This window comes from Homo sapiens, chromosome 2 (assembly GCF_000001405.40).
Source record: "Homo sapiens chromosome 2, GRCh38.p14 Primary Assembly".
Classification (NCBI taxonomy): Eukaryota; Metazoa; Chordata; class Mammalia; order Primates; family Hominidae; genus Homo; species Homo sapiens.
In genome coordinates, this window is record NC_000002.12 from 99,074,889 (window position 1) to 99,087,930 (window position 13,042).

Here is a 13,042-nt window from a genome sequence, read left to right on the forward strand (position 1 = left end):
CGAGGGTTGCAGTGGGCTGAGATTGTGTCACTGCACTCCAACCTGGGTGACAGAGACTCCGTCTCAAAAAAAAAAAAAAGTCCTTTCTTGATTAACCTTAAAATATGTTTGATAAGCCTAAAAAGGGCTTCACTTTATCAATATAAGTGCATCTTAAAAAAAAATACTCTAGAAACATTGTAAAGTATCCAGGGCAACAAAATTTCTGGGTTGAATCCAATAACATATACTCTTAGCCTATTTTTCTCTTAATATGACCCTAATACCACCATTTCTCAAATGTGCCATCATTCCTTGTACAACCTCAGTATGTTCTAAGATGTATTCCTTGTACAACTTCAAGGTTTAACAATTTTTTAAAATAATATTTAATATTTCTTATTCAACCTCATATGTTGTCCAACTAGGGATGTAGATTCATGTTAACTGTCAAAATTCAGTCTGGACAGGATGGTGCTAAGTATATTTAGAAAAAATAAACTATAACTTTATTCAAATAATTCTGGTTTTTCTTACCCAAAAATCTATGAAGTTGCCATTGAGTTTTCTAATTTTAATTGGTAGCAAGTAGTAAAACATCTTTTTAAACCATGGATACTAGAAAAAAATCACTTTATTCACTATAATGTAGACTTTTCCATGCTAATTTATTTCTGTAATCTCTATATGAACAGTATTAGTTTTCACTGAGTAGCCTTTGTTAGTTCAGCTCTGAGGTATCATTATAGAGAACATTTCCTCTTTTGATTGCCTAATGGTACCTTGCAAGTTATTTTCCCTACAGAGGATGGATGTGTTTACTTTCATAAAATCTTATACAAAGTTCTTGATTTTGAAGTAGACTTGTAACTCAATATTGCTTGTGAAGGAAATATAACATTGTTACGGTTCGCAGAATGGAAGAAATGTGAAATATTAGATATAGCACAAGAAAATGAGATTTTGAAAGATGTGAAGAATTTTGCTTCTAAATGTTAGTGTTGTGAAAGGAAATCATGCTTAAATATTCAAAAATGTTTTGAATATAATGAGAAGCAAAATTCTACCTAAAAAACCTAAAATTTCAAAACAATGAGTCAGCCTTTTCCACAAGTATTTACCATCTCATGCCCTTTGATGACCTCAATTATGTTCATGATTCCCAAATCTATTAACTTTAATTAAATTTTCCTCCAAACCTAAAAGTCCAAGAGCCTTTAAATATTTCAATATTTCACCTACATAACCCAAAGACAATTCAAACTCAACATGTCAATAACTTTCCTTTCTAAGCCTGTTCTAGTTCCTGTTTCTTCCTTCATACATAGGAACTATCCATGTGATTCTTAAGCCAGAAACCATACCTTGTCAATTTTACTTCCTTAAGAGACCTATTTCTCTCACTGATACTCCTACTATTCTAATATAGCTCTCAACACTGTTTTCTTAACTAGTGTCCCTGTCACTACTCTCATTTCCCTATAATCCATCTTTTATACGAATTTACAAATGCCAGAATATTTGTTATAAAATAAAGACCTAATTGTAACATTTCATTATCATTATTTCAGTGACCCTCTATATCCATGATGATAGATCTCACACTCAACATCACATGTACTTTTATGATTTTTTTGCTTAACTATCCCATCTCTTCATGTATCTATATCTCTATGGGATATAGATATAGATACATGAAGAGATGGGTTATATACATATATACACACACACATACACACACTGTAAGGTTGCAATGAGCATCACAGCAGAGAAGGGACTGTATGCCTATCCCATCTTTTCTTTGCCCTCCCATATCTATCTCTCTACAACCTGTTCTCTGGCCATGCTAAACTATCAGGAAGTCTCATGAAATTCTCATGAAAGCCACTGGACTCTCACTTAAGCTGTTCAACCTGTCTGGATCACCCTTTCTCATTGTCTTCTTTCCCTGACTACTATCTAGTCATTCTCCTGACTACTATCTAGTCATTCAGTGACTACTATCTAGTCATTCAAATATTCTCCTGACTACTATCTAGTCATTTTTCAGGGTAGTCCAGGCACCATCACTTAATGGAAGATTTTTCCAGACCTTCCTCCTCCCTTAACCCAATTCCCAGGCTGAATCAGGTGTGTTTTTGCCCAATTCCAACAACACATTGTGCATATGTCATTATGGCACTTAATGTATTCTGTCATAACAGTATCTTTATCTCTCTCCTTATTACACTAGAGGCTTTGAGAAGGCGGACCATTCACCTTTTTTTTTTTTTTTTTTTTTTTTTTTTTTTGAGACAGAGTCTTGCTCTGTCATGCAGGCTGGAGTAGGATGGCACAAACTAGGCTCACTGCAACCTCCACCTCCCAGGCTCAGGTGATACTCCTGCCTCAGCCTCCCAAGTAGCTGGGACTACAGGCATGTGCCACCATGCCCCTGCCTCACCCTCAGTTTCTAACATAACATCTGGTACATGTCAACAAATGTTTGTTGAAATAATGAATGGATGGATGGAAACATAAATTAATGAATGAGTTACCTTAGTAATAAAGTAAACTAATAAAGCCCTTATTCCAATGATGCTGCTTTTGCTTAAGATATTTGTGAAAACAGCTTAGGAACTGCTTTCAGAAATCAGTTTATAAGCTAGAAAATAATATCAGTATCTCTGCCTTGTTGGCAACACCTTTTATTTATTTTATTTATTTATTTTTGAGACAGAGTCTCGCACTGTCGCCCAGGCTGGAGTGCAATGGCCCAATCTCGGCTCACTGCAAGCTCCGCCTCCGGGGTTCAAGCGAGTCTCCTGACTCAGCCTCCTGAGGAGCTGTGATTACAGGTGCCCGCCACCACGCCCAGCTAATTTTTTGTATTTTTAATAGAGACGGGGGTTTCACTATGTTGGCCAGGTTGGTCTCGAACTCCTGACCTCATGATCCGCCCTCCTCGGCCTCCCAAAGTGCTGGGATTACAGGCGTGAGCCACCGCACCCGGCCTGCACGCGGCCGGCAACATCTTTTTTCAACAACAAAAATGTGGGATGGAGGTTATCATCCAGCTTTATTCACCAGCCCTATATGATCTATTCTCAAAGCCTGAGGATGATGTAAAAATGTGCTCCTAGGGCAGGGTGCAGCGGCTTATGCCTGTAATCCCAGCACTTTGGGAGGCTGAGGTGGGCGGATCACGAGGTCAGGAGATTGAGACCATCCTGACTAACATGGTGAAACCCTGCCTCTACTAAAAATACAAAAAATTAGCCAGGCGTGGTGGCAGGCACCTGTAGTCCCAGCTACTCGGGAGGCTGAGGCAGGAGAATTGCTTGAACCCGGGAGGCGGAGCTTGCAGTAAGCCGAGATCGCGCTACTGCACTCCAGCCTGGGCAAGGGAGGAAGACTCCCGTTTGAAAAAAAAAAAAAAAAAAAAAGTGTTCCTAGTTCTAAACACAATTACAAAGGGTAACTACCTGAAAATATGCTTTTAAGAAGAAATCAGTCTCACTACTTTATTGTCATGCTTTATATTTTGATATCTGAATTAGTTCTTGCCAATTGATATTAATTACTAATTCATGATAGAAAAATCAACTTAAAATATTAGCTACTAGATTTGTACACATGCTTCCTAAGACTATCTTAAAATATTTCAAAGTCAGATTTTGAAGTTCCAGCTTCTAGAAAAACATTTGAGAAAATTCAAATATTTTATTCAGATTCTAGTTCTTTTAAACCATAGTTTAACATTTAACATTTCATTTAAACGTTTCTTATAAACCACAGTTCTCAGAACATACTTTCATTGCCAAACTCTCTCCAAGGGATGCAATATTCTCAGATTTTTTATCCAAACATGCTTGCAGGCATTCCTTTTCTTTAGCCAGATCATTGAGGGTTCCACCAAGAATGCTGATTTCTTCTCGCTGTGCAATATTTTGCCTTGTAAAGTTATCTATGTATGCAATCATAAAAGTGTTGTTTTAATCAAAATAAAATCTTTTTTCTATTTCAAGCAGATTATCGTACTTTTTGAACTTCTCCTTACTTCTAATATATATTATATTCAATTACTAACAATGAGTACTATATCCCAAATTAAAAAAATTTTTTTGGTTAAAAACTACAGTGAATCACAAAACTCTAAATGATGCATAAACACAAAAGCACAATAACAATGAATTAGAATAGTGAAGGAAAGCTCTACATCGCAAGCTGTCAAAGTAGACTTAATGTATGATGGGAAAAGAGAGAGTGGGTGGATGAAGTAAGTGGAATATCAAAACAATCTGCGGCATTTCTCTCCTGTAGTTTCCCCTCCCCTCCCTCTAGCCTAGAATCACTGTTGTATATAAAGTTGGTAAGTAACAAATCTTAATAAAATATTCAATTAAGTCATCTTTAAAGTAAAATGTCTTCTAATATTCTGGTATTTCTAAAGTAGTGTTATAAAAATTCCTAGGAAAAAAAATCATCCCAGGAAGTATGATTCAATCTGTGAGAACTCTTGCAAGCCAGTGTCAACGTTGAAGGCCTGAATGATTGGTACAGAAGAATAGTTTTCAAATTGTGGTTTCTCAACCAGCACCATCAGCATCACCTGGGAAATGTACATTCTTATGCCTCCACTCCAGACCTACTGAATCAGAAATTCTGGGGGAGGGCACAGCAATTTATGCTTTAAAAACTCCTTCTTTCCCCAGTGATTCTAATGTATAATGAGGATTGAGAACCACTCGTCTAGAGGAGTTTACCTACTCTAGGTATTAGATTTACCTACAGAAACTGTTAGAGACACAAAAGCTCTGGTTCTAGCCTACTTCAAGGAGGCTGGCTCCAGTGATCTTTATTAGCTCTCAAGGTGATTCTGACACAGATGAAAGTTTGAGAACCACTGGTCTAGAGCTCTACAAGGGAAGCTCTGTTAGACAGACTTCTAGGTTAATCCCTACTAGGTTAATACCTGTGAGGGCCATCCAGGAGCAGTGCTATGGGAGATAATACCATATTGTCATATGCCAAAAGCTTGATCTATATAGTACTGGAGAATACACCATGTCTCTTTTTGCAGGCAGTATTGCCTTTAAGACAACCCGCATGTTTTGTGTGTCCTGATATCTGAGTTCATTCCCACTGGCAATCAAACAATCAATACATCTCTAAAATAGCTCTAGTATCTCCTAGCTTAAAAAAATTATCAACCTAACAGCCCACTCAAACTATTACCTTATTTTCTTGCTACCCTTTAATAGCCAAACTTCTTGAGAGACTTCTATTCTTTTCTGTCCTGACTTCACTTCCCATTTATTCCTCAACCCACTCTATCTTCTACATCCAACACTCCATTCAAACTTTTTTTTGGTGTTACCAAATCTTCCAATGTGCCAAATCCAATCAATATTTTTCTTTAGCCTCACTTATTTCACTTCTCAAAAGTGTCTGACAATTGATCATATCCTCCCCTTTTAAAAACACTTCGCTTTCTGGTCTTCCAAAATAACACTCACTTCTGGGTCTTCTTCCTACTTCTTTGGCTTCTTGTTACTCAGTCCTGGATCCTCTTCTCATTCTCTATATTTCCCTAGGTAATTTCACGGTTTTAAAATATCATTTATATGCTGATGTGTCCCAAATATGTATCTTTCTCTTCTGAGACACAAACTTAAATATTCAGCTGCTTACCTTAGATCTTTATTGGGACTTAAAATACCCAAATGTGAGTTCTCCTTCAATATTATCTTTTATATTTCTGTTTTAATATTTCCCGGTTTGATAAATAGTATCTCCATCTACCTAGTTGGTTATACCAGACATTCTTGAACTATATAATAGCAAGTGTTAACAATATTTCCTCTGCTTTAAAATAGGCTCTTCTATAGCCCTGACCAAAATTTTACCCTGTAAGATTAAGTTAGGACCATATTTTCATACTGATCACTAACAAGAAACATAAATAAGAAACTTTAAAAAAGTAACTTTCTCTATAAACCCCAGTAATATCATAGACATAACTAACACTATCCCCTTGGTGATAAGTGAGTTCTCGCTAGACATAACTAAACATATGTACACTTTCCACCAAAAGTAATATATAGGTACTGTTTCATTACAGCAGCTATGGACAAGCTACAATATTACACAAAAAATTCAAATTTAAGTTATCATCGTAAGTTTACAAACTGTTGCTGCTGAGTTTAGCTATTACTTCATTGATAAATTTTAACTTATCACTAAGTACTTATGGTGCTAAATCTAAAAAATTTTGCTGTCAAAGAAAAATGAATTTCTCTACTATTTTTTATTCATAAACTTAGTTAAGGGCTTGTTTCCAAGTTTTTCTATGTTATACTGAAGAGAAGAAAATACATCTTTGCTACCAAACTTAAGAAAAACTAAAAGTAATATTAAGAGAAAAAAACTCACCAATTTTTTCATCCAAGCACATAATTTTCTCCTGAGTAAGCTGTAGCTCATATTTTTTCTTAGCAAGGTGTCGCTGAGTATCAGAAAGATCTTTTTCTGTGTTTTCATACAAAAGTCTGCAAATATTTTAATAATAAAACTAATTCTGAAATTTTTGTTTTGTCATCTTGTAGTGTGTTTAAATCTAAAAACTTTTAAGGACACTAATATATTTATTTCCTCTTAATATTTTTATACAGTTTTAATATTTTCATTATAAAACCAGGAAGTTTAAAAAATAAAGGGTAAGAAGGGATCTTCAATCCACCACTCCAACATAAGCTACTATTAGCATTTTGGTCATAATACCTTCCTTAGGTCCCCTAATGCCAAATCAGAGCAATCAGATTAGGAACTACTATGTTAGCTCTGGTTGGGGTTTGTCTGTCTCAATAGCCTAGGGTTTTATGTTTTAATTCAGAAACAAGATGAGGCCATAGAGATGTCTGCAACACAGGAAATAGAACTAAGGTGTCCCATGTAAATATGGAGAGATATACCATTAGTGAGAAGGTCAGACTAGAGAAAAACACCTTGTCAATTGCTGCTAGGCTCAGGAAAATAATAACAACTGTAATGCCTAACCTTGTTTTTTACTAACTCTATTTTTAAATTTTCCCTTTTTGTCTCCTTAACTACCTAGCCTTGTTTCCCATATAAATAAGACTCTCCCTTAGCTGGGAAAGCCGGACAAACTCCATTTGGCCCCTTGATTTACAAGACATTAAGGGCTCCTTACCCGACCCCCTTCCTCAAGGAGTTAACCTGTGTAAGCAGACCCTCAGCATTTCAAAGGAGCCAAATTAACTGATAAGGTACTGGAACAAACAATGTGTGAAGTTCCCAGGATTTTGCTCAAAAAGATAACAACATAAAGCCTTGAGTCTGTGTCCAGCATAGCATCCATATCTAACAAAGGATTTAGAGCCCCGCACCTGGTTCCGTTGCTTTTTTTTGTAACCATTTGCCTTTTAAATTGTTAATCTCTCTGTAACCATTTGTTTTTTTGATTCTTGCATGTTTTTACTTCTGTAGAATTATTGCATTTGAGCTCCCCTCCCCTTCCTAAACTAAGGTATAAAGTTAATCAAGCCCCTTCCTCGAGGCTGAGAGAATTTTGAGCGTTAGCCGTCTCTTTGGCCGCCGGCTTAATAAAGGACTCTTAATTCGTCTCAAAGTGTGGCGTTTTCTCTAACTCGCTTGGGTATAACACAACAAAGAGTCTTAATCTCAATCTAAGCATCAAAATAAAATTTGGTTCCCGATTGGTCATATAATCAGGAACCCCTTGCAAAACTCTGGAGGCATGCTCTCAACCCAAGCACAGAACTAACCCCAGACAAAGGCCTATGGAAAAGGATCTCATAATTCAAAATTTAAAAATACATCAAGAAACAATCCAACCTTAGTGGGAGTCAAAAGACACACAAACTAAATTAGATCCCTAAGAACTTCAGACTACAGCACTATCAAATAGAAACTTAGAAATACATGTGTTTAAATACAAACACATAAAATAATAGGATATATAAAGAAAAAAATAATCAACAAATTTGGAAAAGAACCAAATAGAACTTCACAAAATTAAACTAACATCAAAATTTTAAAGATTACAAAACTCAGTGGACAAGTTAAAAATACAGAATAGACACTGTGAAAGAGATAACTGGTAAACTGGGGAAAAAAACAGATCAGAGGTCCTATATTAGAGCACAAATAAAACAATGAAAAAATACAAAATAGAGGTTAACAGACATAAAAGACAGAATAAGAAGGTCCAATATTTACCAAATCAAAATCCCAGTAGGGAAGAATAAAGACAATATTCAACAAAATAATACCTAATAAAAGATGAAATCCAAGACTAAAGAGGTATTAACCTGTATCTATTAAGACAATTATAAATGGGGGAGGATAAAAGGACTTAAAAGGAGACAAGATTTCTATACTTTATGCAAACTGATAAAATGTGACACCAGTGGATCGTGATAAGTAAGTACAATTCACAGAGCAACCACTGAAAAATCTATAGACACTCAAAAATACTACAGATATCAAAAATGGGATTCTAAAAAATGTCAAGTAATCCATGAAAAGGCAGGAAAACAAAAACAGAGACATGAGAAACAGAGGAAAGAAACAAACGAAAAACACCCCCAAAAAATAACATGGAGAATTGAGCCCTACCAATAATTATATTAAATGCATATGGTCTACCTTATTTTTAACAGCCAAAACCTGGAAAAAATCAAAATGTCCCTCACCAGGTGAATAGCTGAACAAATTATGGTACATTCATACTATGGAATGTTACTCAGCAATATTAAAAAGTAGCAAAATTTAATACTTGGCTGGATCTCAATGGCATTATTCTGAGTTTTCAAGCGAATCTTGAAAATCATGGCTGTATGACTCTTCCTATAACATTCTTGAAATGACAAAATTACAGAGTTGGACAACAGATTAGTGTCAGATATTAGGGATCATGGTGGGGGAAGAGGAGATGTGACTGTAAAGGAGTAGCATGAGGGATATTTTTGCGGTAATAGACTTTCCGTGTCTTGAATGTGGTAGTAGTTACATGAAACTACATATGTGATAAAATGACAGAACTATGCACACACATTGTACCAATGTCAATTTTCTGGCTTTGATATTGTACTATAGTGATATAAAATGTAATCATTGTGGGAAAGTGGGTGACGGGAATACATCGACTTATCTGTATATTTTTGTAACTTCCTACAAATTATGAAATTATTTTAAAGCAGCAAAACAAAAAAAAGTCCTAGAGTTAGGCTGCACAATTATGCCAATTAAATTAAAATCTCTGGGAATGAGAATTAACATCACTATTGTTTTTTAAAGCTCCTCATTTGATTCTAATATGCAGCCAAGGCTGTTAAGGAATGCATCTGATATGGTTTGGATGTTTGTCCGCTACAAATCTCATGTTGAAATGTGATTTCCAATGTTGGAAGTGGGGCCTGGGGAAGAGATGACTGGATCACGGGGGCAGGTCCCTCATGAATGGTTTAACACTATCCCCTTGGTGATAAGTGAGATCTCGCTAGTTAGTTCACATGAGATCTGGCTGTTCAAAGAAATCTGGGACCTCCCCTTTTCTCTTGCTCCTGCCCTTGTCATGTGATGCACTGGCTCCCCCTTTGCTTTCCACCAAGATGGCAAGCTGTCTCGTGCCCTCACCAGAAGCAAATGCCAGCACCATGCTTCCTGTACAGCCTGCAGAACCATAAGCTAAAATAAATTTCCTTTCTTTTAAAATGACCCACACTCAGGTATTTCTTTATGGCAACACAAGAATAGACTAATAGAGCCTCCTGATGTCTCTTCATCTAGGGTAGCAAAAGGTGAAAAACTGACAAAGCAGGTGTATATGAGGCAGAAAGTGATAGTGGTTTTATGGCATCAGCGTCTCTCCCATCCCCCCATACCATGAACTCAAAGAGGCTGATATTGTTAGTCACCCAAGAGCATTGTTTTACACAATAACTTATATCTCCATGGCAAAATGTGTCCCAGGGCCAAAATTATAAGACATTTGAGATGGCCAGTCATTTAAAAACGAAACAAAACCCACTGATTACAAAATCAAGCAGAAGCTGGTATATTAGAATAAGTGCATCCAGGCCGGGAGCGGTGGCTCATGTCTGTAATCCCAGCACTTTGGGAGGCCAAGGTGGGTAGATCATGAAGTCAGGAGTTTGAGAACAGCCTGAACATGGTGAAACCCTGTCTCTACTAAAAATACAAAAATTAGCCGGGCACAGTGGCATGCACCTGCAATCCTAGCTACTCAGGAGGCTGAGGCAGGAGAATTGCTTGAACCCAGGAGGCGGAGGTTGCAGTGAGGTGAGATCGCACCACTGCACTCCAGCCTGGGTGACAGAGTAAGACTCCGTCTCAAAATTAATTAATTAATTAATTTAAAAAATGCATCCAAAAAAGTAATTAGCCCAAAAAAATTTAAAAGAAAGGAGAAGCCAGGCATGATGGCTCATGTCTATAATCCTAGCACTTTGGGAGGCCAATGTGGGAGGATCACTTGAGGCTGGGAGATCAAGACCAGCCTGGGCAACATAGGAAGACCCCCATCTCTATAAAAATTTTTTTAAAAATTAGTCAGGCACAGCGGCACATGTCTGTGGTCCCAGCTACTTGGGAGGCTGAGGCAAGAGAATCACTTGTGCCTGAGAGGTCAAGGCTGCAGTGAGCTGTGACTGTGCCGCTATACTCCAGCCTGGGCAACAGAGGGCAATCCTGTCTTTAAAAAAAAAAAAAAAAAAAAAAAAAGTTGTTTTTTTGGAGGTTCTAGAAAAATTTAAAAAACTAAAAGACACTGCTAGATATTATCAATATGAAAAAAGACAAGGAAAAAAGTTACAAATAACAGTTATAAGAAATGTAGTAGATGAAGTTAAAAAAAATACATGTTGTAAATAGTAGAATGGATACACTTGATAAATGAATTAGCACACTGACAACAAATTGAAGAAATTTCAGTAGAAGGATAAACAAATAGAAAACAAGAAATAAATGTAGAAGACTTACCAAAGCTGACTTTGAGACTTACTACAGTATTCAAGATGGTATGGCATTAGTCTACGGATCAACAGACTAATAAAGCAGAATACAGAGCACAGAAATAGACCACAGATATATGGTCAATCGATTTTCAATAAATACACCAAAGCAATCCAATGGGGAAAGGAAACAATTGGTGCTAAAACAACTGCATTGCCCTGAGTGATGAAATATTCTGTACAACAAACACCCATGACAGGGGTTTACCTACATAACAAACCTATACATGTACCCCTCAACTTAAAAGTTGAAAAGTAAAATAAAATGAACAAAAACAAACCAAAAAACACAATTGTATTCTTTTGTGGAAAAAAAAGAACTCTGACCACTACATGACACCATACACGAAAAACCTAACCATAAAATGTAAAATTACAATGCTTTTGGAGAAAGCATAAACATGTATGTTAAAAGTTTTAACCAATCCTGGTAATCAAATCCAACCAAATCAGAATCTACTATGACCAAGTGGGGTTTACCCAGGCATGCCAGGTTGGTTTACAATTTGAAAACTAAAAATTAATCAATAATAACTCATCATATTAACAGACTGATAAAGAAATAATTATGATCATATCAACAGATGCAGAATAAGCATTTGACAAAATCCAATATCCATTCTTAATAAGAACACTCAGCAAATTACAAATAGAAGACACTTTTTCCAATCTCATAATAGGCATCTATGAAAAGCTTATTGCTGACGTTACAAAGATGAAAGGCTGAATTGCTTTCCTTCCAAAACCAGGAACAAAACAAGGATGACTGTTCTCATTCTTCTGTTGAACACTGTACCAGAGGTTCTACCAAGTAAATAAGGAAAGAAAAAGAAACACAAGGCATTAAGATTAGAAAAGAAGCAAAACTCTTAATTCACAGGTGACATGATAATCTACATAGGAAATCCTATAAAATCTACCAAAAAACTGAGGCTAGATGTTCAAGACCACCCTGGACAACAGCAAGACCCTGTGTCTAAAAAAAAAAAAAATTTGGGGGCCGGGCGCAGTGTCTCATGCCTGTAATCCCAGCACTTTGGGAGGCCAAGGAGGGCGAATCACGAGGTCAGGAGATTGAGACCATCCTGGCTAACACAGTGAAACCCCGTCTCTACTAAAAATACAAAAAATTAGCCACGTGTGGTGGTGGGCACCTGTAGTCCCAGCTACTGGGGAGGCTGAGGCAAGAGAATGGCGTGAACCCGGGAGGCAGAGCTTGCAGTGAGCCAAGATCATGCCACTGCACTCCAGCCTGGGCGACAGTGCAACACTCCGTCTCAAAAAAAAAAAATTTTTTTTAGGCCAGGCACGGTAGCTAATGCCTGTAATCCCGTCACTTTGGGAGGTCGAGGCAGGCAGATCACCTGCAGTCAGGAGTTCGAAACCAGCCTGACCAACGTGGAGAAACCCTATCACTACTAAAAATACAAAATTAGCCTGGTGTAGTGGCGCATGCCTGTAATCCCAGCTACTTGGGGGGCTGAGGCAGGAGAATCGTTTGAACCCGGGAGGCGGAGGTTGCAGTGAGCCGAGATGGCACCACTGCACTCCAGCCTCGGCAACAAAAGTAAAACGCCGTCTGAACAAAAAATAAAAAATAAAATTTTTTTTAAATTGGCCAGGCATGGTAGCGCATACCTTTACTCCCAGCTACCTAGGAGGCTGAGGCAGTAGAATCACTGGAGCCTAGGAGTTTGAGGCTACAGTGAGCTGTCATCGCACCACTACTGTCCAGCCTGAGTGACGGAATAAGACAGTGTCTCTAGAAAAAGAAATACTAAAATTTTTTGTTCATCAAAAACAAAGCAATTACAAGCAAAAAACAAGCCACAGACTAGTTTAAAAAAATCATACATTTCAGATAAACGGCTTCTACAATAATGCCTACAAATAAACAATAAAAACCACCAAGCAAAAAAATGAGCAATAGAACTGAACAGACACTTAACAAAAGAAGATATATAAATGGCACACAAACAGGCACTCAACATCATTAGGAATCAAGA

At 37.1% G+C, this 13,042-nt stretch overlaps 1 protein-coding gene across 23 annotated transcripts in view, besides 1 other annotated feature; it reads right to left on the minus strand.

The window, feature by feature from the left end:
• The window catches only part of TSGA10 (testis specific 10), a 157,706-nt gene that overhangs the window by 77,628 nt on the left and 67,036 nt on the right, over window positions 1–13,042 (minus strand). For 21 of the 23 annotated variants that reach the window (NR_146001.2, XM_047445934.1, XM_047445931.1 and 18 more), the window contains 2 exons: window positions 6,394–6,509; window positions 3,771–3,925 (listed from right to left, as the gene is read on the minus strand). The exons of the other annotated variants lie outside the window; for them this stretch is intronic. Coding sequence is in view for 20 of the 21 variants with exons in the window: in XM_047445934.1 (XP_047301890.1) it covers window positions 3,771–3,925; window positions 6,394–6,509 (271 nt within the window). In the remaining variant the exon portion in view is untranslated. The remainder of the gene's footprint in view (window positions 1–3,770; window positions 3,926–6,393; window positions 6,510–13,042) is intronic. 23 annotated transcript variants of the gene reach the window in all.
• Window positions 6,911–7,669: an enhancer, noted in NCBI's record as "NANOG hESC enhancer chr2:99698262-99699020 (GRCh37/hg19 assembly coordinates)". NCBI's record gives its function as "activates a minimal SCP1, AML or CMV promoter by ChIP-STARR-seq in naive H9 embryonic stem cells {active_cell/tissue: H9 hESC(naive)}" and the evidence as "EXISTENCE:reporter gene assay evidence [ECO:0000049][PMID:30033119]".